Below are 26,450 nucleotides of genomic sequence, written 5' to 3' on the forward strand. Positions count from 1 at the left end.
CGCCTGTAATCCCAACACTTTGGGAGGCTGAGGTGGGCAGATCACTTGAGGTCAGGAGTTCAAGACCAGCCTGACCAAATGGCGAAACCCCGTGTCTACTAAAAACACAAAAATTTGCTGGCCGTGGTGGCACATGCTTGTAATCCCAGCTACTTGGGAGGCTGAGGCAGGAGAATTGCTTGAACTTGGGAGGCAGAGGTTTCAGTGAGCCGAGATTGTGCCATTGCACTGAAGAGGAAGCTCTTATCTTAAAGGAATAGTGACTGTTGGGGTCAGGATGCAGGGAAAGCTGGAAAGTTAATTTGGGGCTAGATTGTGCTGTTTTGGATACCCCACAAAAGGGTTTAGGCTTTAATTGGAAAGTCGTAGGAAACCACGGCAGGTGCAGGGTAAAGGAGTGACAGGATCAAAATGGTGCTGGAGAACACTGTGTGCAAGGAAGGTGCAGGTGTGGGGAGGACAGGCTTGGAGAATGGGAGCATGCAGCAGGGCACGGGACAGGAAGGGAGGGACTGATGCAGAGAAACGGGGCCAACATGTTGCAGGAGGGAAGAAGCAGGAAGAATCAAGGGTGGTTTTGAAGTTGCAGGGTACCCAGGGCAACAGTGGTCAGAGTTTGAGAAAGAAAAGTCACAGCAGGCACTAGTTTATGGGTGTTAGACATTTATTCATTTGAGCACACTCTTTGCCAGGCACTGGGCCAGGCCTGTGGGAAGCAGAAAGTACCTAAATGGCATCTGTAGTTGGAAAGGCTTGCAGAGCTCAGAGGCCTTCTGCTTGTACCCCACTCCCTGCCCTCCCACAAGCAGCCTCCACTAGATGCCGTCTCCACCAGGAAGCTTTCCTTGACTTCCCAGGCAAGATTGAGTGGCCCTGCTGTTTTTCTCTGGGTTTACCCCTATGTTAGGTTTCCTCCATGGGGAAAAACTATTTCCTTGTATCCCTCTGACCAAACTGTGCTTTCTGGGAGAGCAGGAGCCAGCTTTTATCCCCAGGGTCTAGCACTGTATCTGGCATATGCTAGACACTCCACAAACGTTTGCTGAATTAATAATGACAAACACCACATGCAAGGCACCATTTAAGTGATTCACACATAGAAATTCACCTAATCCTCACAGCAACCCTAAGAGCTAGGTACTACTCTTGTTATCATCATCTCCATTTTACAGATCCATTAACTGAGGCAAAGAGGTTAAGCAATTTGTCCGAAGTCATATAGCTAGTAAGTGACAGAGCCAGGCAGTCTGGTTCCGGAGCCCTTCCTCTTGAGCTCTACACCATGACTGCATGTGGTAGAAATGAAGGTCTGGAGCTTCAAGTCCCATAACAACAACTTGGGGCTATAGCATCAGTGCCCTCCAAGCAAAGGCTTCAGGGAACCAAGCTGGGTTTATTGACTCACTGCAAAGAGGGAGAACACACACCGGAAGGAACCGTGGGGCATCTCAGTTAGAGGATGCTGGGAAGGACTGATCCTAGGGTTGGGGATTTTGCTAAGTGATGGAGGGGAGACTGAGGAAATGAAGTCTGGCTTCACTCTGAATTGGATGCCATCAGGAAGAAAGGGCCATTCTATAATTGAGTACCTTAATTCATATCTAGAAGAGAGTGGAGCAAGACCAAAGCTGTGATTGGTTTTTTAAACAGCAGCAATCACTCATATTAGCAAGGATAGGAGAATGTTTAGTTACTTTTGTGGTTGGATGATAGTCCTGTTTTCGTCTGTGTTCAGTTGTGATTATCAAGTGATTCTTACTTTCTTCTCAATCCATCAAGGTCACAGGGTGACCCTGTCTGAAGTTGGTGTTCTGTGACATCGCTTCTGTGTTGCAAAACACCATGCCGAGCTCTGAGAGTCAGGGCAGCTCCAGCTGTCACGGGCTACTTTTCTCAGTGGTAAAATAATATGGATACATTGTTCCCGAACTTGACATTAATGCCAATGTATTCCTCCTCAAGCTTCTCCAAGTTTCCTAGAGTGTTGAGTCGCTAGGAGTGGGCAGCTTCAGTTGTAGGGTGGAGGAGGCTGGCAGGTTCACACCAATCCCGGAACGTTTTTAAGGTCCCCTGGCTACAGTTTCTCCTTTGCTTCTCTTTTGCCTCAGCACACAGCTAAGGGCTGAGGCTGCAGTGTTCCAAAAGCACCTGGGAGGCTGGCAGGCCCACACTGCTAATATGCACTCATCACCATTATTTTTCCAGACCATATATGGCCTCCAGTGCCTTCCTTCACCCAGCACCCTGTGTGGCCTTCCACTGATGAAGGACCTTGTATCATTTAAAGCAATCACTTCTCTCCTTTCTTCCTGGAAATTGGAGACCTCTTCAGTGACCACAAATTATCAGCTGCATTTCTGGCTGAGGCTTCTGCATTGTTCGGCTCCCCCACCCCATCCCCCTCACCCTTTCCCCCTTGACCCACTTTCTTCCCAGCAGGGGAAGGCCATCTATTTCTGCCCTCCCCTGACTCCCTGAAGCTATTTGTTTTTAGGAGCCTAGTTTATTTACAGCTCATTCCTGTTCAGAATATTTCCATCAGGTGGACGTGTTTGGGAGCAGCTTCCCCCTCCCTCCTCCCTCCCAGTCAACTAAGCCAGGACTTCACATGTCTATTTTGGTGTCATCCGAGTGGCCTGTGGGTCTTTCTCATGGACTGTCTCTATAGAATTGTGTCTGAGCTCAGGCTCCAGTCTGGAAAAGCCCCGGAAGGCTCTGTTGTATTGAAAGCAATCCTGTGCGTATCTCCGTGGAGCCTGCAGAAACCTGGGAGCAGCACGTGGCTCAGCACCAGGCAGCTGCCTTGGAAATGCCAACCATCACGGAACTTCAGGACCGCATGTCCCAACTTAAAGACATCAAGCTCATGTTGTATGTGGCCAGTGCATTGCCAAATTATGGGTAATTGTTTAATGCAGGCTTTGGCAAGTGTTTGAAGCTTTTGTTGTCGATGATGCTGGTTTTGCCCTTTGGACTCAATACCCATTCTTGAAAAGGAGACTTTCTCTTGTTTCATTTCAAGAAACTGAGGCACATCTTTGGAAAGCGATTTTCTCCAATTTACTCTTGGAAAGACATGGATTTGATTAAAGAGTGTTAAGTCTAGGTGCAAGTGGCCATGTGAGCCAGTACAACTCACTTACTCAATCTGAAACTTAGTTTCCTCATCTGTACCACAAAGAGTTTTGCCCAAATCATCTCCAAAGTCCTTTTGCCTTTTTTTTTTTTTTTTTTTTTTTTTGAGACGAAGTCTCACTCTATTGCCCAGGCTGGAGTGCAGTGGTGGGTTCTCAGCCCACTGCAACCTCCGCCTCCAGGGTTCAAGCCACTCTCATGCCTCAGTCTCCTGAGCAGCTGGGATTACAGGCGAGTGCCACCATGCCTGGCTAATTTTTGTATTTTTACTAGAGATGGGGTTTTGTCATGTTGGCCAGGCTGGTCTTGAACTCCTGACCTCAGGTGATCCGCCCACCTCAGCCTCTCAAAGTGTTGGGATTACAGGCATGAGCCACTGCACCTGGCCTCCTTTAGTCCCTTTTTAAAATAAGTATGACACCAGAACCACCACTGTATCCATCTTCATCTACCCTCTTGCAAGGCCAGCCCCACAATAGGTTACTGGAAATAGCCATTTCCATTTCTGCCTTCTGTTTTTCCATCAAGTAGCCTTCCCTCCCACCCCCTCAATCCAACAAATGTGTCATTAGAAACTGTCAAAGGAAAGAAGTGACATAAGCATCCTGCCTCAGCAGGTTGAGAGAATTACAAGTGCAGCCATTTAACTGTTCTGCACCTGCCTGTCCAGTTGGTGGACTAGTCAGCTTTTTACTTCCTCCTCCTCTTTTGGGGCCTTTCCCTGCCTGTGGGAACTTGCATGAGAGAGACAGACCCCAAAGAAGAGAGAAAGCCAAGGGCACACGCTGTATGGCAGCTCAGAGTGCTTTGACTTTATTGTAGTGAGTTGGGTCTCAGCTACAGTAAAGTTCTTACATTAACTGAATGCAATTTGCCCAAAATTCCCCCCAATTCACATGTTCCAGAGAAGGCTGCACCCTACAATTTTCCTTCAATCCCCACAACAAACCTTGAAAGACAAATTCTGATCCTAAAAGTTGCACGTAATTTGAACTTCTCTGAAAGAACATGGTAGAGTTTGCCTTCTGCTGTATGTCCCTGAGCAGGCAAGGATACAACCTACAAAGAACAATTTGTGGTTTGGTGGCTGTGCCTCTGAGCCAAATTACCCAAGGCAGTCCACTCAAGAGTGATGGAGACTGTCTCAGCCACCCAACGCCAGCGGGGGCCCAGACTACAGAACACGATTTTACTTCAAAGCCAAGGTACCAGCTGCCAGCCAAGGTACCAGCTGCCAGCACAAGGTACTTGTGTCAGTCAAGGTCACAAGAGGGACACAGACAAGTGCACACACCCGTTAGCATGTATGCCAGGTCCCCACCAACTCTACTGTGAAACCCCTTTGCATTGCAACTTCAACACTGGCTGAGCAGTTTAAAATTTAAAGGCTTTCACAATGAGAAACAGCCCTGTGAAAGAAAAACTTAAAAAGAAAAAAAATTTAAAGGCTGCTAAAACCTCCTAGTACAGTCTGCTTTCCAAGAGTCTTTTTTCCAAAACAATGCATGTGCATCCACACACACACACACACGTGCACACACGCACACACAACTCACCCAAGCAGCCTGCCGAGTAACAGAGCAGTCCTGAAATGATGAGCAGATGAGCGAGGCTGAATGATGAGCCCGTCATTGTGAGGCAGGGCCCAAAGCGGACTGGCCAGGGAACACTAGCCGGAGACAGGCTGAGATTCGTCACGCCTCTGAGTGCTCCCAGTGCCTGGCCTGTTTGGCATTAGGGGTGGGAGTTGGCCAATCCCTGCTTTGATGTTGCTTCTGCTCCAGATGCCAGGGGTCTGGAGCCAGTCCTGAGCTCCTGGGAGTAGCAATGGGTAGGCAGCCCTGCTCCAGCTGCCCATGAACACTGCTGTAGGGGAGGCTTGGAGGACAAGAGTGCCTTCAGCCCAGGGGAGGATATGAGGTTGGGAGCCCAGGGATACTTATCCCCCTGCAAGCCAAGAGGAAATTGAGAGCAATCAAACAGGCTGCTTTTCATTTGGCTCAAAAACCGACTTGACTCAAAATACCACAGCAGTATTGACTGCTCTGGTAAGCCTCAAAGTCAACCCCCCACCGAGACCGTCCAAGGGGAGCCTGCCCTCCTCTGCTTCAGGGAAGACCTTCATGGCCAGGGGTCTCAGCTCTAATCCTGTCTGGGCCAAAGTGTTGCTGACAAAGCTAAACGTAACTAAAACAACAACAACGAAACCACAAACAAACAAAATATATAGATTTCCAAAGGGCATGTAGGCAAGTCTTTTTGGATGAAGCGGCATATACCAGTTACATGCTTAAATCTATCTGGTACTTTATAGGCACACCCAGTGCACAAGCATGGACACACACAATATTTTAGATTATAAAAGACAAGATTATTATTATACTACTTAGCAATAAGCACTGTTGTTTTGATCAGCTTAGTAAAGACCATAAGCTATAGCAGGAGTCAGCAAACTTTTGCTATAAAGGTCAACATAGTAAATATTTAGGCTTTGTGGGTCACATGGTCTCCGTTACAACCTCACTTTGCCATTGTACAGGACAGCAGCCATAGACAATACATGAAGGAATGAGATTGGTCATGTTTTGTAAAAGTTTACACAAATATAGGAGGCAGGCTGGATTCGGCCCACAGGCTGTAGTTTGCCAAGCCCTGCACTATAACCTTCAAAAGAAAGGACACTTATGTTCATTCATTCATTTACTGTTTTATTCATTCAGAAACACAGTAAGTACCAAATTGTGCAAGACATAATGACTAGACACAGTTCCCGCCCTTGGAATGTGTCGTTCAGTGTCACGGGAAGAGTACTGGCCCTGGAGTCATCCAAGTTGGGCTTAAGTCCTGGTTTTGCCACTTAGTAGCTGTGTGACCTTGAGGAAGTTATTCATTCTTTCGGAGTCTAAGCTTTCTTACTTATAAAGTGGGCGTGCAAAGCCGACTTTGATAGTTTGCTGTGAGGATTAGAGCTACAGCTTTTGGAATTCCTGGCACCGAATAAGGGCTCTCTTATTGACATATTCTTGGATAACTGTTGTATAAGGTAAAAAAAGAAGAGTGGCTAACATAGGGCAGGGATGCCTGAAGGGATTTATAGAAGGAAGAAATGGGTAACGGTTGAGGGGTAGAGGGTCCAAGTGAGATATCAAGGAAGGATTCCTGGAAGAGGTGGGATTTGAGCTGATACTTGAAAGCAGAGACTTGCTATATCAAGATGGGAGGAGTGGGAGGTGAGGCTTAGGCTGTGTTCCTTCTCTGGGGAATTCCCCTTTGTCCTTCTCAGAAACTGGGTCTAAGACCTCAGAGAAAGTAGCAATAAGGCCAGGGAGTCCTCAGTCCTGAGTCCTAGAGAGTTGCAGAAGTATCTGCATCACATTTTCCTGACTTTCTCTATTCTGAGTCATATTCTTGCAGCTCTTCATTTTTCAAATTTCATTTCGCAAACCTTCAGAGATGGAAGTTTTGCCACTTTTCACACCAAAAGCACTTACTGTGTTTTTTTTAACCACATGGCATCAAACTTTTTCTAAAAAGGTTTGACATATGTAAACCACTCAGCTGTAGTTTGTTTCATTATTGTAAAAACAAAAGTAGCTGGACTAGATGATCGCTGGGGTCCTGTCCAACTTGGCAGGTGTTTGAATCTCTATTTGAACCTAATGGTTCAGGTTCACGAATATCTTCTGCCTCTTCTCTGTGTTTCTCTCCTTCTGCTACTCTCTTTTCTGTCTCTGTCTTTCTCTGTCTCTGTGTCTCTCTATCTATAACTTTGTCTCATTCTCTGGCATTGTCTCTGTCTTTCCAAGCATGCACCATTTAATTTAAGTCAAATTTCTGGATGTATGCTCAACTACTTTTAATTGCTCTCCAGCCAAGTGTGCCAGCCTGGGATTAAGAGCCCTGGTCTTTAGCCCTGGCACTAACTCACTGTGTGACCTAGGACAACCCATTTCCCCTGTGGGTCTGGATTTTTCTAGATGTACAATGAAAGCCTTGGACCAGATGAGCTCTAAGCCCTTTCCAACTTTGGCATCTCTCAGGGTCTGTGATTCCTGAAACATCAGTGGTTCCTAGACAGGGGTGAAGGATCTCCCCTTTTACCCCTTGGTGAACAATCTTTGCCCTCAAGTTCCCTCAGGTGCCTTAGCCTGGCACCAGTTCACCACGGCAAGAGCTGCCTGTAAAATCTAATTCACAATACAAGTTTCTGGGGCCTTCCTGCAGCTGTCAGCAGGTGTCACATTCACAGTATTTTGTCTTAATTACAGCTCTGGGATTTATCAGCCAGGCTAGAGACCTCTTCTGGAATACGACATCCCCGGGAGCTGTTCCAGGTGCTCCTGTCCCTGCTGCTGCCACACACAGGCCTGTTCCCTGCCGATGGGGCTGAAGTAGATTCTGCTTTGCATGCTGCTCCTGCTGTGTCTCCCACCACTACCTCACAGAGAGCCTGTGTGACATAGATAACTCCCACAGCCTTCCCAGGGATCCAGAGGCAAAGACATCTACCTGTTTGGGGCAGTGCCAAGGCTCCCACCAGCCCTGGAGCACTTCACATCCGCTGTCCCATCCCAAAACCTTGGTGGGCAGAGAAATAGGTAGGAAGACCTGAGTTCTACCTTCCCACTGACAACCATTCTTTCCTCGGCCAAGCTTTGGTCAGGTTCCCCTGAGCCCTCCTCTTGACTAGGCTTTGAACGTGGGCTTCTGTGTCCATCCTTGCAGAGTCCAGTTATAGCCAGAATCTTGATAAGTCAGTTTAGAGAGAATCCCCCACCCTTGAGAACTGATCAACCTGGTCTGCCTTCAGCAAGAATCCTGTTAAGTTGTTTCAGCCAAAATCCCCCTATCATGATGTCTCCTCTTACTAGTTTTTAATCCACTGACCCACCCAACCTGCTTCTTGGCTATAATTCCCCACTTGTCCTTGTTGTAATGGAGCTAAGGTTGATCTCTGTGTCCTATTACAATAGTCTTTAAACCTATTGCAATAGTCTTGGATAAAGTCTTCCTCACCATTTTAACCAGTGTCAGAATAATTTTTTCTTTAATCTCACCTCTAGATCCAATGGTTTTGTTTACTCAGGAGAGTCTTGTAGAAGACTAATCTCTTGGGAACAAAGAGTTTTCATCTATCTCATCTGCTAACTTGCACTGATTTTTTTTTTTTTTTTTTTGAGATGGAGTTTTGCTCTTGTTGCCTAGGCTGGAGTGCAATGACATGATCTCGGTTCACTGCAACCTCTGCCTCTCGGATTTAAGAGATTCTCCTGCCTCAGCCTCCGGAGTAGCTGGGATTACAGGCACCTGCCACCAAGCCTGGCTAATTTTTTGTATTTTTAGTAGAGATGGGGTTTCACTGTGTTGGCCAGGCCGGTCTTGAACTCCTGACCTCAGGTGATCCACCCGCCTCAGCCTCCCAAAGTGCTGGGATTACAGACATGAGCCACCATGCCCAGTCTTTTATAAATTTTTTTTTAAACAAAGTCTCCCTCTGTCACCTAGGCTGGAGTGCAGCAGCACAATCCTGGCTCACTGCAACCTCCACCTCCTGGGTTCAAGAGATTCTAGTGCCTCAGCCTCTGGAGTACCTGGAATTACAGGAAAAACACCATGCCTGGCTGTTTTTTGTATTTTTAGTAGAGACGGGGTCTCACCATATTGCCCAGGCTGGTCTTGAACTTCTGGCCTCCTGTGATCTGCCCACCTTGGCTTCCCAAACTGCCAAGATTACAGGTGTGAGCCACCACGCCCGGCCTAACTTGCACTGATGAATACAGGTTTCCTGGAATGCTGTGTTAAGAAGGACTCTGAGGAAAGAGGGTCATGACTTGTTAGTATCATCCTCCCTGAGATGAGGGGAAGGAGCATTGCCTGCGCTGCATACTTGCAGACTCGTTTGGCAAAACCCACATCACGAAACGACGATGACCCATGCTCAGCATTTCCCAGGCATTATTGCATTTAACCCTCACAACTGATTATCCTCATTTTACAGAGGCGAAAAATGACTCTTGGAGAAGTTAAGTCACTTGATCTGGACCACATAGCAAGTACAGAATTGGGGTCAGAGTTCCAAAGGCACCTTGCACACAGCCCTAGGAGGAGGTGACCTCCTGTGGTCATCTGACGCTGACCCTTGGTGATGGCTCACTGGTTCCCAACCACTTCCAACCTTCCTGCTGTCCTCACTGCTCTAGTCTGGTGGGGCAGTTTCCGGGTTAGCTGGCTGCCTCCTCTACTAACTCCCAGCCACTGACTTCCCATCAGAGGACCTTCTCTGAGTTGAGACTGTGTGGAAAAGGCTAACATTCCCTCCAAAATGTGTGCTCCCTCTTCCATAGGCCAGAGTGAGCCCTGTGAAGTAGCTGCATTTCCCAGCCCTCTGCAGTATAGAGAGATGGGGGCATGTCATTATTCTTGCCAATGATTCTGCCTGGGTGCACAGACTCAATTCCTGGGGGACAGTGGAGCCACGGGATGTAAAGGGCCTGCACCCCTGAATGCCAGAATGGAGGTGCACTGCCCCCAACCAGGGACATGGACTGTTAGGTGAGCAAAAAATAAATTTTGATTAGGATAAGCCACTAAAATGCTCACCTGTTACAGCAGATAGCATTGCCCTAACCCAGTAGTGAGGTGCCAACAATGGGACACATTCCGTGATGTTCCCCATTCAATCCTTTGATCCCCGCAACAGCCCCACAAGGTATATATTAGTACTGTCATCCTCATTTTCAGGTAAGGCTCAGGGAGATTAAGGGATGCACCCAAGGTCAAACACAACCAGTAGGCAGTAGGCCAGGATTGAATCTGGATGTCTGACTCCAGAGACTTCTGGAGGTTCAGTTACCAGCACACGGTGGAGATCTTCCTCCACCACCACCACCTAGAGAGAATGAGCAGGAAACCTCAGAAGAAATGGCACCCAAAAGAGCCAGAAGTGTCGCCTCAGCCAGCTAAGGTTGGAACCACTTACCAACGCCCAGAATCACGTCTTTCCAATCAAACCCAATGACTGTTCATCTCTGGGTTTCAGTTTCCTGGTTTGTAAACTCCCATGAGTAAACAATCTCTGATTATCCCGACCACAGAGAGGGTTCAATCAGGTGTGCTGGTGGTCTTCAATCAAACATGGATTTACCTCCCCTATTCTATTCTTCAAAGAGGGTGACAAATCTGCAACTCACTTGAAATCCATCAATAAAAAAGATTAATAAACAGATATATGATAGAGTAATTACAGCAAAATGATAGCCAGTGCAGAATCGCTGCGGTTCGTGTATTGGTTTTCTAGGGCTGGGGTAACAAAGTACCACAGACTGAATGGCTTAAACAACAGAGACTTGTTTCTCATAGACCTTGAGGCTGGAAGGCCAAAACCAAGGTGTGGCTGGTTTGTTTTCTCCTGAGGCCTCTCTCTTTGGCTTGGGCATGGCCACCTGCTTGCCATGTCCTCACATGGCCTCTCTTCGGAACACATCCTTCGTGTCTCTTTGTGTGTTCAGATTTCCTCTTCTTATAAGAACACCAGTCAAGTTGGATTAATGCCCACCCTAATGGCCTTATCTTAACTTAATCACTTTTATAAAGACCTCATCTCCAAATATAGTCACATTCTGGCTGGGCATGGTGGCTCATGCCTATAATCCCAGCGCTTTGGGAGGCCGAGGCAGGTAGATCACTTGAGGTGAGGAGTTGGAGACCAGCCTGGCCAACATGGTGAAACCCCTTCTCTACTAAAAAATACAAAAATTAGCCAGGTGTGGTGGTGGGTGCCTGTAATCCCAGCTACTTGGGAGGCTGAGGCAGGAGAGTCGTTTGAACCCGGAAACTGAAGGTTGCGGTGAGCCGAGATTGCACCACTGCACTCCAGCCTGGGCAATAGAGCGAGACTCCGTCTCAAAAAACAAAACCAAAACCAAAACCAAAAGAAATACAGTCACATTCTAAGGTACTGGGTATTACTGGGGCTTCAACATGAATTTGGGGGAGACACAATTCAGCCCCAAACAGTGGACATATTGGTGTTCCCTGAACAATTATCTTTACTTTCTCTGAATGTTTGAAATTATTCCTAATTTTAAAAAGAATACCATTAAAAAATTTTAGATAGTCAACAGAGAACCAGAAGATATGTTCACAAGGATTAGGGTTGGGAGTAGGTCAGCCCAACTCCCTTGTTGGCAAATGTCTAGGGGCCCCTGGAGCTGCACAGAGCTAAGGCACCAGTGCCACCTGGAGGAACCTGAAGCCGCTCATTGAGAGGCCTTGAGCAGGTCATTGAATCACTGCAAACCATATAAGAAGTTATTCTCTTCTGTCTCCCACCCCTAACCCACAGAGATGTCTTGAGGAGGAAAAGTCTATCCTCACTACAAGGATGAAAGAAAATCAGTCATCTCGTGTCGGTCATTATTTTATATAAGTCATATATCAAAAATACCTCCTTTGCACACACAGAGTCAAGGAAACAAATCCATCCCCCTTTCCCTGACAAGAGAATTATTTTGGACCTTATCTAAAGAAAGGCATCTGCTTTTTGAGTTCAAGTTCTAATTTGACCAAATGGCATGTGGTAAGTAGAGAGGAAGGCGGAGACAATGCTATTAGGAGCCAAGGGAACATAAAGAAACCTCTCCATGGCTGGCTGCGCCTTGACTCTGAATTTGATTACAGCAGCCAACATAAATCAGCCGGTGCTATTAAATCTTCTGCCAGTGCTTGACAGGGGAGGACAAGTTTGTAGAATTATTCGGGAGATCTGGCCATAGGTCAGAGACAAAACCTTCCAGCTGCATCGGGCCCAAAGGGTGGGTTATTTCCAACACCTGCTGACAACTGTGACTGCGTGGAAAGACCCTGTGCTTCCAGCCACTACGTTTCCATGCCTTCATTTTTCCATGGTGACAGTTTAGCTCTATAGGCACTTGTAATTCAAAACCACCTGGCTCACTTATTCCTTTCCCTAGATCCATCCCTGCACCCCCCATCCCACCTCCAGGATCTATTGTCCAAGGGTCCACAACAGGTGGGGAGGAGGGAGGCTGGGTTCCTGGGAGTCCCATGGCTGCCCACTGGCACAGACTGGCTTCTCTACCCATTGGTCTCAAAGTCACTAAAACCCTTGGATTCCAGAAATTGGGGAGCCTAGGGTTGATCCCTTTGGACTCAGTTGAGCACTAGCACTTATCAACTGAGCAAGTTGGCAAGATAAACCTTAGGCTTTTTGCAGCACTATAATCCTGTGATTCTACCAATCTGGAAACTCTCTGAGATCTCAATTCTCCTTGCTGCTTTGGATCTAAGGACTTTTAAAGACAAAAAATTCCATCTTGTGCTCCAGATGAAAGGTAGTATTTTGTACAGATGGTGTTTTGTTTAATTGTTTAGAATAGGTATTACATGCATGTGATTCAAAATTCAAAACATACAAACAAGTATACATTAAAATTCTTTCTCCTACCCCTCTCCCTCAGCTACCCAGTTCCAATTATTTATTACCAACCATTACTTAGTTTTCTATGTATACTTCTGGGAATATTTTGTGCATATACAAGCAAATAGGTAGGTATAATATTTTCCCCCTTTTACTCAAAGGGTTACTTGTAATATTCTATTATACATATGATACTCCCTCTTGGTTTCTTCACAGTATTTTTGTTTAAAAGACAGCATTTCATTATGCTGCCCAGGCTGGAGTGCAGGCATAATCCCACTAATGATCAGCACAGGAGTTTTGACCTGCTCTGTTTCTAACCTGAGCGGGTTCACCCCTCCCTGAGCAATGGGGCACCCCGCTCCTGGAAGGACACTGTGGTGATGCCAAACTTGGTGTGGATATCCCATCATCATAGTGCACTATAGCCCAGAACTTCTAGATTCAAGCGATCCTCCTGCCTCAGTCTCCTGAGTAGCTGGGACTACAGGCACACACCAGTGCACCAGGCTTTTCACAGTATTTCTAAGAAATTATTCTGTAACTACATAAAATGCATGCACATTGTTTTCTTTTCTATTTTTCTCTTAGAGATGAGGTCTTGCTACGTTGCCTAGGCTGGTCTCATATTCCTGGCCTCAAGTGATCCTCCCACCTCACCCTCCCAAAGTGCTAGGATTACAGCTGTGAGCCACCGTGCCACCCCACTTTCTTTTCTATGGCTGCATAATATCCCTTTCTTTGGAAGAACCATAATTTGTTCATTCTGCCCCCATTGATGTGCATTTGGATGATTTGCAAACATCTGCTGATGCAAACAATGCAACTAAATAACCTTCCACATGCATCTCTGTGTATGTTGGTAAGACTATCCATTACATAAATTCCTAGAAATAAAAATACTGGGTCAAAAAGTATGGGCACTTGTAATTTTTACACATATTGCCTAATTCATCTCCAGAAAGGCCCCAGCAATTCACGTCTCCTCCTAGGAGCAGTGGATGAGAGTGCCTGTTTCCATACACCTTCGCCAACAGTCTGATGTTTGACCTCTTGAATTTTGCCTACTTGATAGGTGAAAAGTGGGTCTCACTCTGTTGCCCAGGCTGGAGTACAGTGGTGCAATCACAGTTCACTGCAGCCTTGACCTCCCAAGCTCAAACAATCCTCCCACCTCAGCCTCCCAAGAAGCTGGGACTACAGGTGTGTGCAACCACGCCCAACTAATTTTTTGTATTTTTTAGCAAGATGGGGTTTTGCCATGTTGGCCAGCTGGTCTCAAACACTTGGGCTCAAGTGATCTGCTAGCCTCAGCCTCCCAAAGTGCTGGGATTACAGGCGTGAGCCACTGCACCTAGCCTTCAGCATGGTTTTAATTTTCATTTCTCATATAGTAAATGAGACTGAGAATATTTTCAAACATTTTGAAGCCATTTATACTTTTTCCATTTTTTTCATTGGGTTGTCAATTTTTCTCTTACATTATTTTTCCTATATATAGGAAAGAAACACTTTATTATATGGCTTGCAAATATTTTCCCTAGTTTGTTTTGGCCTTTTGAGTTGGTTTTTGCCACACATTATTTTTTTATGAGAGGCATTGGTGGTTCAGTGGTAGAATTCTCGCCTCCCACATTATTTTTTTATGTAGCAGAATTTAATGTATAATTATTTTCTTTTATGGTTTCTGGGTTTTTCCAAACACCCAAGTTACCCAAAAAATCTCACAAGGTTTTTTCTAATCATTTTATAGTTTCATATTTTATATTTAAATCTTCATTCATTTGTAACTTATTCTGGTGTTTTCCTGTGGCCTAAAGCAGAACACAAAAACAGTCTTTAAACTACCTTAGGTAGCCTGCCAACGCCAGCTGTCACAACTCTCAACAACACATATTGAGCACTATGTGCTAAGCATCGGCCTACAACCGGAATGTTGCCTTCATTTGAAACATTACTTATCTGAGATAAGTAAACTGAAGCTCAAATAAGTGCCCAGGTAAGTGGTAGAGTCTGACTTGAACATAGATGGGTTGTCTCCCTGTCTTGATTGCTTTGCTCTCACACAAACTCCAACCATTTGTATAACAAGTAGCCAAGCATATTGTAGGCGGTACAATAAATACTGGTCATTTGATTGAGGGGAAGTATCTCAAATGCTATGTATATTAAGTAATGGCCATAATGAATCTAGAGACGGAAAGCCAGGTTTGATAAGTGAATAATTCATCAAATTATTCATCAAATAATTCCACAAAGCCCCCATCAATTCACATCCCCTCCTAGGAGCAGTGGATGAGAGTGTCTGTTTCCACACACCTTCACCAACAGTCTGATGTTACACCTTTTGAATTTTGCCCATCCGATAGATGAAAAATGGGCAAATTTTCAGTCTCATTCATTATATAAGAATTAAATTATATATTATAAATTGTATATAATTTTAATTATATGAAAATTAAAACCACACTGCAGGCCAGGTGTAGTGGTTCACGTCTGTAATCCCAACAATTTGGGAGGCTGAGGCAGGCAGATCGCTTGAGCTCAGGAGTTCAAGACCAGCCTGGGCAACATAGCTAGACCCTGTCTTTACTAAAAATAAAAAAAATTACATACATAATAACTATAAGAAGAAGGAGGATCTTAATCAATTCAAATGGATTTTATTGCTTCAATTAGAAATAAACATTGAGCAAAATGCAAAGCGGCAGCAGATGGGTATATGGCCAGAATATTGGGCATCTATGTCAAATCAGCCACTATTTGCTGGCATTCCACTTGAAAATCTCATATTTAATCATTTTCCTCTGACTGCCCAGGAGGACCTGCACTAGGCAGGCCTGGTGACTTGATGGCCATTGTCACCTCAAAGGAAGCATGCAAGACAGATGCCATGTGGACAGAGGGTCTGTTCTGATGTGGATGAACTAGATACAGTAAGTGGCTTGTCTTCTTGCTAGGTTTTGCATAGAGCTGCCCAATTTCCAAAAAGTGGACACTCTCAGGATTGCAGTGCCTTGTGGGGTTTCCTCCTAAGATCACCCCTGTCTTAGAAGGGGAGAAGCTTTCTCCTTCACAGCCAAAGGAAGAGCTCCTGCCTGTGAACTTTGCTGGTTAGCAGACCTTTCTACTGAGAACTCAGAATGGCTAAGGTGTTGTTATCAGGTGTGAGCATCCCATGTCCTGAAAGTCAAATGTTGCCCCTCAAAGTACAACAGTAATTCCTGAGTACATATTCTGACCCAGGCCCAGGGCTGGGCCCTTCCCAGGCTCTCTCCTTGGATCCTTGCAATGATGTTATGGATTGTATATTCCCCTTTTCCAGGTGAGGAAAATTGATTCTATGATATCCAAGGTCCTGTGGAGTTGGGATTCTGAACCCAGACCTCCGGTTCCATAGCCTGTGCACTGGGATGTCCCCAACTCAGCCTCAGGCTTTAGACAGAGAGTCTCAGTTCTGAAACTGGAATCTTCAGCACCGAATAAGAGCAGATGGGGCTGGGCGCGGTGGCTCACGCCTGTAATCCCAGCACTTTGGGAGGCCGAGGTGGGTGGATCATGAGGTCAGGAGATCGAGACCATCCTGGCTAACATGGTGAAACCCCGTCTCTACTAAAAATACAAAAAAAAAATTAGCCAGGCGTGGTGGCGGGCGCCTGTAGTCCCAGCTACTCGGGAGGCTGAGGCAGGAGAATGGCGTGAGCCCCGGAGGCAGAGCTTGCAGTGAGCCGAGATCGCGCCACTGCAGTCTAGCCTGGGCGACAGAGCGAGACTCTGTCTAAAAAAAAAAAAAGCAGATGGGATGATAGTGGAATGAAACATCCCAGGAGGAGGCAAGTGGCTGAATTCCAGTTTCTCTCCACCATTTGGAATAATGGTTGCAACCAGTAATTGAGAGCAAACTGTATGTCAGGTGCAGTGCAAAGCTCTGTAGGTATTAGCTCATTTTATCCTCATCACCGTCTAAAATGGAGACTCTTATTATCTCCATTTTACAGATGTGGAAACTGAAATATTAAGAAATTAAACCGTGGCTGAGCATAGTGGCTCATGCCTATAATCCCAGCACTTTGGGAAGCCAAGGCAGGTGGATCGCTGACCCCAGGAGTTCAAGACGAGCCTGGGCAACATGGCAAAACCCTGTCTCTACAAAAAATACAAAACTTGGCTGGTTATGGTGGCATGTGCCTGTAATCCCAGCTACTGGAAGGAGCGCTGAGGTGGGAGGATCCCTTGAGCCCAGAAGGTAGAGACTGTAGTGAGCCGTGATTGCCACAGCACTCCAGCCTGGTGACAGAGTGAGACAAGGAGGGAAGGGGACAGGATGGGAGGGGACAGGATGGGAGGGGACAGGAGGGGAGGGGAACAGAGGGGAGGGGAGGGGAATGGAGGGGAGGGGAGGGGAGAAAGAGACCAAGAGAGAGGAAGGGAGGAAGGGAGGAAGGGAGGGAGAGAGGAAGGAAAGAAGGAAGGAAGGAAGGAAGGAAGGAAACCAAAACAAAGATCACATGGCCAAGATCTCTCAGCTAATGGGTTACGGAGACTCACTCAAATCCAGAGCTGTGTGAATGGGAACTCCATGCCTTTTACTCTCACATAATGGGTTCTCAGTGCCAATGCTCAGAAGAGAAATACACGCCAAGACCCCTTCTTTGTGTGGGTGCTAATTCTGTAAATTTGCAAATAGCATGTTAGCCACAAAGTCAGGGAAAGTCTAAGTCTAAGAGGATATTTAAAGTCTGGTCCACCCCTTAATTTTACAGATGAGGAAACTGGGTCCTGCAAGAGAGCAAATGACTTGTCCAACACTACAGATGTGTCCTAATTTTACCTGAACTCCTAAGGACTGCGCTGCAAGTCTGTCTAAAAACACAAGTAAACAGGCAAATGGCCAACCCCCTGCCTACATGTCTCCATATGATCTTCTACTGGACATGAACAAAATAATCTTGGCAGTCATGCCCAGGGCAGCCGGCTCCTAAGCCTGTCCAGCCAATGCACTCTTATTCTCAGGACTCCACAGCAGAGGGAAGTAAGGGCCAGAGCAGATACTCTGGGGAAAGCATTTCTGGGGCCCAGATTGTTCCTAAAGTCACCTCGGCCCTTCAATCCTCACTTTCTACTGGCAGACAGGAAGAGTGAGGGGACAAACCACCCAACCAATGCTGCTCCTGCAGGGCCCTGCTGCTCTCTAGAGACAGGGGACTCCTGTGTTTTCCACCATGATGGTTCCCTACCATGACCTTGCTCCACGCAGCTCTCGAGAAGATCGACAGAAGGAAAACAGATTGTTTCCTCACCTGGAGCCTCCCTAATTCCTGGACACTGTGCTCAGTGGTTGAGAATTTCATTTCCAGATGACCACAGAGAATCTGGAAACCTTTTGGGGGCCACTCCATGAGGTCCACCCCAGTAAGGACGGTCTCAGAAGCCAAGCTGGCCCTGTTGGACACAAAGGGCAGTCCAGTTTCAACTCCTCATGATCATAACCCACCCGACAGTCCCCTCATACGGGGGACAAGTCCAAACACTGGAACAAACCCGGAATCCTAGTGAAGTAAGAAGAGCAGGTGGGCAGGAAAGTCTCTCCAAGTAGGATGGCCAATGTCGCCCCATTCCCTGTCTTCCCGGGTCCCCAAGAAGCCCCATGCCAGGCCCGAAACCCCTGGAAAGTCCTCTGTGGAGCATGGTCCCAGGACAGAACTCCCAGCAGCAGCAGGAAAGCTCCTGATGCCTTCTCCAAACTTCTCAAAGAAGGAAGAGGAGAGTGGTACAGAAGGATGAGTGAGGAAAGTGTGGGATGCCTGGGAGGGAGGAACCTGCCCGACTCACACCGATGCTTCCTTCTTTTCTTTCCTCTCTTTTTTCATTTGCAGCCCGCAGCTGGTTGATGGTGCAAAGCCTGTAGCAGCCACGAGGCCTCTCCTTCAGCTGTCACCAGCTCCCAAACACGCGCCCCATGCCTGTGTTTATGCTGGTTGCCATGAGAGATAAGTGCGGGCTTGAATGGAGCTAAATGCTCCTGGGCTGGGAGATGGAAGAGGGCCAGGTGTATTTTTAAAGCATCTGGGGAAGCCGGTCACCACGAGAAGCCTCCTTCTCTGGGCAACGTGTTCCTTCTTTAGGGGCTGGTTTATAAATGCAAAGTGGGTGGAAGCTGAGTCTCTTCTTTTTTGCCGTAACTCACTGGATATTTTAAGCAAAAAGTTCTCTGGGTTGTATTTGGGATTTTTGCCTTTTGACACAATTAATTATGGAAAAAGATCTGACCTCTTGCCATGTGTAGAGACACCAAGAGGTTCTGGAAAGAATGACAGGAAATATGTATATATCACACATTGTATGCCAGGCACTACTGAAAGTACTTTATGCTCATAATTAGACCACTTAATCCTTACAACTTCTCTGGGAGTGAAATCCTGCTTTTACAGCCATTTCATAGACGAGGAGGCTGAGGCACCAACAGGGTAATTTGCCAAGGTCACAAAGCTAAGGGAACACAGGATTTGAACTCCAGCAGTGCGGCACCAGAGGCCCTACTCCTAACCACTCTGCGATTCTGCCTTTGTCATGGTTTGGGGTCAGAAGTTCTGATGTGGAATGTTGACCCAGGCACTGTGTGACTGCACCTCTATGAATGTTCCTTTCTTCTTTAGTAAAATAGGGGTACTAATGGCTACCTTGTGACATTGTTGTGAAGATTAAATATAATATGTGTCAAGAGTCTGGTGACCAGAAAATACTCAATGAAAGGTAACTTTAGTGTTTTTAGTGGTGGTTCCATGGCCCGCTGGATCCCAACTTCTGCATCCCGACAGGGAAGGGCTGCTGAGCTATAACTGTTACTGTCCAGAGAGGCGATGGAGGCAAGGAACTGTGTAAGGGCCAGCAGGACACAGCTGTTCTCTCACACTATCTATAGCAGAGGACACTTCCCTGCCCACATTCATCAATCCCGCCCATTCGTCGATCCTGCTCATGCTTTCAGCTTCCCACTACAGAGTCTTGTGTCTATGCCAGAGCGCTTCTCCAACCATGGGAAGTTGTTTGGGGTAAGCAGGAAGAAGAGAGTGGTGAAAATCCCCAGGAGTTGATGGATAAATATCCCAGTCCCCTGCCTGTCTCCCTAAGGCCCCCAGTAGAATTGAGCCCCAGTTGCTCATAGCAGTAACCTGCTCCCGAACACACTCCATACTGATTGCCTTCTCTTCCCTGTCTCACTTCCCCACTGCCCTTCTGAGATCACCTCCCAAATAAACTACTTGCACTCAAATCCTTGTCTCAGGCTCCGCTTCTGAGAAGGAACCCAAATGAAGACAGTACACACCACGGTGCCTTTGATTCTGATGTCACTTTAACAAAACACTCGTGGGTCTGTTTACCTAGTGGAAAAACTAGGTAACCTGTGGCGGCTCCCACAGATATCCAGATCCTGATCCCTGGAACCTGTAAATGTTACCTTATATGGAAAATGGGACATTGTAGATATGATTAAATTAAGAAGTTTAAAATGAGGGGATCATCCTGGATTACTTGGGTGGCCCCTAAATACAACCACAAGGGTCATTATAAGAGACAGGCAGAGGACATTTGACACAGAATGAGGTAATGTGACCACTGAAGCAAGATGCTATGCTGCTTGCTTTGAAGGTGGAGAAAGGGGCCAGGAACCAAAGAATGAAAGAAATGCAGCTCTAGAGCTGGACAAGGCAGGAAATGGATGCTTCCTGAGAGCCTTCTGAGGGAGCTCGGCCTTGGCGACACCTTGATTTCAGACTTCTGACTTCCAGAACCATAATAGATGTGTGCTGTTTTAAGCCACTAAGTTTATGATGATTTATTACAGTAGCCATAGGAAACTAATAAAGGAACTCAGAGGTGAGCTAGAACAGAGGCTCTTACAGCATGGTCCACCGACCAGCAGCATCACACTCTTGGGCCTCACATTAGAAGTACTAAATTAGAAATTCCCAGGGTGTGTCTCAGTGGTCTGCAGTTTAAAAAGCCCTCCAGGTGATTTCCATGCTGGCCGTAGTTCAGTGATTAGCCCTGCCCAGACATTAGAATCACCTGGAGGACTTTAAGCATTCCCAATGCCTGATCCAATACCCCAGAGATTCTGATCTAATTCGTCTGCTCAGCTTGGACTCTGGACTTTCATAATGCAACCTGGGTGCATATTCTTTTGTCTAACCAGGGCTGGGAACCAGTGCTGTAGTTTGAGACTCTCTGATCTAGACTGTTGACTTTCAAACTAAGCTGTGCAGAGCTTTGGGATTCTAGGCAGATGCAGAAGAAGGGGAAGGCAGAGGCCAAGCCAGCAGGGCTCCTGGTCCCAGAGACCAGAGTCACATGCCCAGAGGGGGCTAGAGAGGTAGATGTAGTAAGGGAGGTGGATGGGGGTTAAGAGCAGACTTGGTGAGCTGGAGAAGCTCCATTCCAGTGATGGCCAGAACGTGCGTCCAGCAGCTTGTCCTGCTTTTCAAGATGTTTGCTTCTTTATTTTATTTAATTTTTTTGCTGAATAGATATCAGAAATACTTTTTGTTTTTAAATGTTAAAGCATTCAATTTTTAAATGTTAGCCACTAAGGCAATTTTTAGAAATCACCACCCCCCACCTTTAGTACTCTAAGGGCTAAGCATAAAGGCTGGATTTGGTCTTTGGGCAGCTGGTTCACAAACTCCGTCTCTGTCCCACGTGTCTTTCATTCATCTCTTAGGACTGGATAAGTTCTCAGAGAGATGACAGAAACTCCATGTGGGTGGGATATTTTTGTCTGCTTGCTCACTGCTGCATATCCCCAGGCATATAGTTGGCACTCATGAAATGTTTGTTGAATTAATAAATCCTCATAGCAATTCTGTGAGACAGAGACTATTATATCCATTCTTCAGATGAGAAACTTGGGGCTCACTGCATGAAATGAGCTCTTCACCATCACACAGTTCATAACCAAGGGAGGCACAATTTGCACCCAGGACCCCTCACAGTAGGGGCTACTGTGAAGGGAAAGACAACTGTAGTTGTGAAAGTGCTTTGTAAAACAAGAGGCTTGTGGGAATCATTGGTGCCAGTCCATAGGAGAAATACAAGTGGTACTTCTGACTGAATTGCATTTAAAGAAGATGGGGACCAGGGGCAGTGGCTCATGCCTGTAATCCCAGCACTTTGGGAGGCTGAGGCAGACAGATCACAAGGTCAGGAGTTCGAGACCAGCCTGGCTAACAAGGTGAAACCCCGTCTCTACTAAAAATACAAATTAACTGGGCGTGGTGGTGGGAGCCTGTAATCCCAGCTACTCCGGAGACTGAGGCTGGAGAATTGTTTGAACCCAGGAGGTGGAGGTTGCAGTGAGCTGAGATCGTGCCACTGCACTCCAGCCTGGGCAACAGGGCGAGACTCCGTCTCAAAAAAATCAAAATAAAAAATAAAATAAAATAAAGAAAATGGGACACGAGGTTATTTGGTGTCTCATCGAAGCCAGAGCGGCTCTCTGTTCACTCTGGAGCTGTGTTGTTTTTGTATGGATGTGGCAGTGGTGGCTGTGGATCTGAAAAAGGAGGTGTGAGTGTGGCAAACAGTAAGGTGGGGGGTTGGCCCAACTTATCAGAAGGGAAAGTCTCCCACCTCTCACACCCACCCCTCTCTGTGTCTGAACAGGACATGAGCCCACTGCTGCACGCAGAGGCTTGGGATGGGGTTGGCAGGAAGCCTGGGACCCCTTAGAGAGTTCTTTAATTTAAGAATCCTCTCTGATTTTATTATCCATAGGAAATATGGGGCGGTAAATCAGAGGAGATGGCTGGCAAGTGCATTACGGAGCATTAAACAATAGCTGATCAGCATCAGACACAAATAAATGGTCCATAATCTAGTGCCAAGAATATGGATAGTTCCCAAGTGGTGGCCTGGCTGGCTTCCAGGCAGGGGAGCACGGGGCTGGACATCAGGCCCTACAGGCCACAAAATGCCTGCCCTGGGTTACATCCCAGCAGGCAACAGGAGAAGATTCCAGTACCCAGACAGAAATCACATCCTTCCATCTGATCTCACTCTACAGGACTGGATTTGGGTGTTCTCACCATCTGGTTTCTGAGACCCGGACCCAAACATCACCTGAAGAGTCCTGCCTTCCTGGAAAATCCTGTATTCAATGAGGGAAACCACATGTGTCTGCAGGGTCATCGATGGGGATGGGTCGGCTCACAATGCCTAAAGGGAAGGCTTGTGAAGTGGATTCCCCTGGCTCCCCACCCCCAAACACCCTGGTTGACACCATTTCACTAGAGTATTGTTTAGCTTAGATCCTTAACCTCCATTAAAATGCAAGAACCATCAAAGCAGAGATAAATCAGTACCCTGGCAAGTCATGCACACTTTAATATAAAGCAATATTCAATCTTTTGCTAGAGCTTTGGGCATTGATATACTGAGGAAAAAGCAGGAGGGAATGGAAAATAAAGAATCCAGGCCAGGCGTGGTGGCTGTAATCCCAGCACTTTGGGAGGTCAAGGCCAGCGGATCACTTGAGGTCAGGAGTTCGAGACCAGCCTGGCCAACATGGCAAAACCCCATCTCTACTAAAAATACAAAAATTTGTCAGGCTTGGTGGCACGTGCCTGTACTCCTAGCTACTCAAGAGGCAGAGGTATGACAATCGCTTGAACCTGGAAGGCGGAGGGTTGCAGTGAGCCGAGATCGCACCACTGCACTCCAGCCTGGGCAACAGAGCGAGACCCTGTCTCGAAAAAACAAACAAAAAAGAATCCAGAGGAGAGTTTCCAGAGGATAGGAGGGTAGCCTACAGGACTTTAAAGGCCAATATCACTATTTATCCAAAACCATAAGGAGATTTGGTATATACTGGTGAAAGCCCTGGACTTAAAGAAGCAGGATTTCAGTCTCCAGCTCTCCCACATAACAGCTGCATGACCTTGGGCAAGTCACTTAACCTTTCTGAGCTGCCATTTCCTCATCTGAAAGGGGAAGTGGTGCTGCCCCCATTCAGGAGTGCTGCGAGAATTACACAAATTAAACTGTGTGGAAGGCCTGCCCTCCGGTAAATATCATTGTCTTTGTGTCTGTGCCTCCACATTCTGGAAATTGTACTACTACTGAGCTACCACTGTGGGTGGATACTGGAGCCAAGTCAATCCACAGACCCATAAGTGAGTCCAGCCAGGGCCAGCCAAACCCAAGCTAGATTAGCTGACCCTCAGTTTACCCACAAACACATGAACTTCAACAATAAATGGTTGTTGTTTTGATCTACCAAGTGTCACGGTGGTTTATTACCCACCAATGGTTAACGCAATACACCAAACGTGGGAATCTTGGCATTTTTAATAATTGCCATGTTCAATAGAAATCATTCTAATATATAAATGGCATTTATCTACCTTCTTAAGCAAGATAAAGTAGGCACAATCCAGTCATCACTGGTCCATTCATGTTCATCATAATGAAAACCAGTTAATGTACTGTAGTCAATGACGCCTTCAGGGGTTACAGACAGAGCAGAGGCTCTAGAGGTAGCTCTAGTCTACTATGTTTTGTTTGTTTTTTTAAACGAAGTTTCACTCTTGTTACCCAGGTTGGAGTGCAATGGCGCGATCTCAGCTCACTGCTACCTCCGCCTCCCAGGTTCAAGCAATTCTCCCGCCTCAGCCTCCTGAGTAGCTGGGATTACAGGCATGCACCACCACATCCAGATAAATTTGTATTTTTAGTAGAGACAGGGTTTTCTCCATGTTGGTCAGGCTGGTCTCGAACTCCTGACCTCAGGTGATCCACCCACCTCAGCCTCCCAAAGTGCTGGGATTACAGGCGTGAGCCACCGCGCCTGGCCTACTATTCTTTTTGAAATCTCAGGCCCATTTCCTAATTCTTTATTGTTTTTCTTGTAATCATTCTTATCATCCGTCATTGTGTCTAGCTTAAGCAGCAACTCCTCCCTCCCCAATTTAATATGCTATATATAATCACCAGCTTTCAAGTCACGGACTATCTATGTCTATTAGAGTGGTGCCCAAAGTAAGAGTTAATAGGCTTAGAATAAAGGCCTGAAATAGTTTTGTGTGTATCAAATATTATGTGCTTTAGCGATGGCATTTCTATCATCAGTTCTGGCCTCTGATGTTTTTTGCTCCTTCCTGGTTCTCCTCTGGGACCCAGCAGAGGAGGTTGCCAGGTAATGAACCTCTGATCCAGATAGCTGGTGCTGCACATGGCACTGCTGGAATAGTCTTTCTTGAAGACAGTGAAGGAGTGGATTATCTATGAAGGTAAGTACTGGCTTACAGGCCCATGAGAGCTCTTCCTCCATCACAACCCCTTTCCGGGGCATTTACCACACGCCACCTGTGTTTCAAAAGCAGGTGATCATGGAATCCCTCAGAGCAGAGGCCACATCCTACTTGTCTCCGTGTCCCTTGAAGCACACATTAGAGTGCCAGGCACACAGTAGGCACTCACTAAGTTATAATGCATAGAATGAAAAGATTTTCCTGGTTGCCCTTATTTTCTGTGTATACACAGCCTATCTTCAGAAGAATTAAGAGTCTATAAGCTTCTGAATATAGAATATTTTATATCAAACTGTTGGAAAATATTTCCAAAGGATTACAAGGAACAGCTTCCATTTTTTTAAAGCTTAAGTTTATTTCTGAACTGTGCTATCATAAAGCCATGGTGACTAAATTAGGGGGGCAAAGCCAAGTGACCACCGGAGAAAACATATCTTTGTGATACTGAGCTGGTTACCTTAGTGATTCCCGCTAGGTCTATTCCATTGTTTTCCCTAATGTCTAATGACCACATTCCCAGCCAGAAGTGCCTGTGGATGTGCGCACTGGTTGTTCTCCATCCCAACCCTCCCCTTGGCTCTCTGCCCTCAGTGTTCCAGTCCCTGACCTCCAGGCTCTGCCCTCTGGCTTCAAGTTGGGTTGGCCAATGAGAGGCGCTGCCAAAAGGTGCTTGGATGGGAGGAGAGAGAAGATGGTGTACTTCTCCTTCACTTTCTCCCTGCTTTAGGGCCTTCCATGACCAATGCTCTTGCTTAATGGCCCCTTCTCTAAGGCTCCAAATCTGCCTGGGATCCATTTTCCTATTTGCCCCTCTTGCCTTTTCAAGCACAGGGTGGTAAAGGCATATTGCAGTTGCTAATCTCTAGGTGCCTCAGCATTCCTTGTTGGTTCCCTTAACCCCGCCCACACCTCTCAAAGTGATCCCTTCATTCAGATCTTTTCATCTGAACCACCTGAGTTGCTTCTTTATCCTGCTGTTGCCCTGATTGGTACAGTCTGCAAAAAGCTTACCTAAGAGATATCTATGTTGTGCCAGGGTGCTCTCCAAGGCAAAGAGTTCAAAAGAAAACCAGAGGTTCTTTTCTCTCTAGTTTTCTGAACTCCTTAACCACTTTGGTGCTATTTAAATTAAGTAATACAAAATGATGGTAAACCCCAGTTTGCAGATGAGAAGCTTTTATTCATTCATTCATCAAATATTTATTGATTACTATGTGCCAGGCACTGTTCTGACCCTGGGAAAACAGTAAAGTACAAGAGAGACACATGCCCTGGCCACATGGTGCTTATAGTGTAAGGCCACTGTCTCTCAGAAGTCAGGGAGCTCATCAGAGGCAGGGCTAGAACCAGAAAACTGAGTTTCCTTAAGTCCTAACCTTCAGCAGATTCTCAAAGGAATCCATGACCCAAACATGATTAAGAACCACCAAATTAGGCCAAATTAACTCTCAAGCTTCTCCCTTGAACTGGGGAATGAATAATGACTACTCACTCCTAGAAGAAGCTTGATGCTCTTAACTTGAATTTGCAGGGGCATGTGGGCACACACCCACGGTGACACCACCACT

At 46.4% G+C, this 26,450-nt stretch overlaps 1 protein-coding gene, 1 non-coding gene and 1 pseudogene across 4 annotated transcripts in view; all 3 read right to left on the reverse strand.

The window, feature by feature from the left end:
* Window positions 1-26,450, reverse strand: part of COLQ (collagen like tail subunit of asymmetric acetylcholinesterase) — a 71,574-nt gene that overhangs the window by 43,688 nt on the left and 1,436 nt on the right. The window contains exon 1 of one of the 3 annotated variants that reach the window (NM_080538.2): window positions 4,692-5,052. The exons of the other annotated variants lie outside the window; for them this stretch is intronic. Within the exon in view, the coding sequence (NP_536799.1) occupies window positions 4,692-4,767 (76 nt within the window). The 5' untranslated portion in view covers window positions 4,768-5,052. Of the gene's footprint in view, window positions 1-4,691; window positions 5,053-26,450 lie in introns of those variants that run through there. 3 annotated transcript variants of the gene reach the window in all.
* MIR4270 (microRNA 4270) lies at window positions 2,419-2,488 on the reverse strand. Its single transcript, NR_036232.1, has one exon. It is a non-coding gene; the product is annotated as a microRNA 4270 (primary transcript).
* On the reverse strand, window positions 12,803-13,085 carry RN7SL110P (RNA, 7SL, cytoplasmic 110, pseudogene; annotated as a pseudogene).

Source organism: Homo sapiens, chromosome 3 (genome assembly GCF_000001405.40).
Source record: "Homo sapiens chromosome 3, GRCh38.p14 Primary Assembly".
In the NCBI taxonomy this organism is placed as follows: Eukaryota; Metazoa; Chordata; class Mammalia; order Primates; family Hominidae; genus Homo; species Homo sapiens.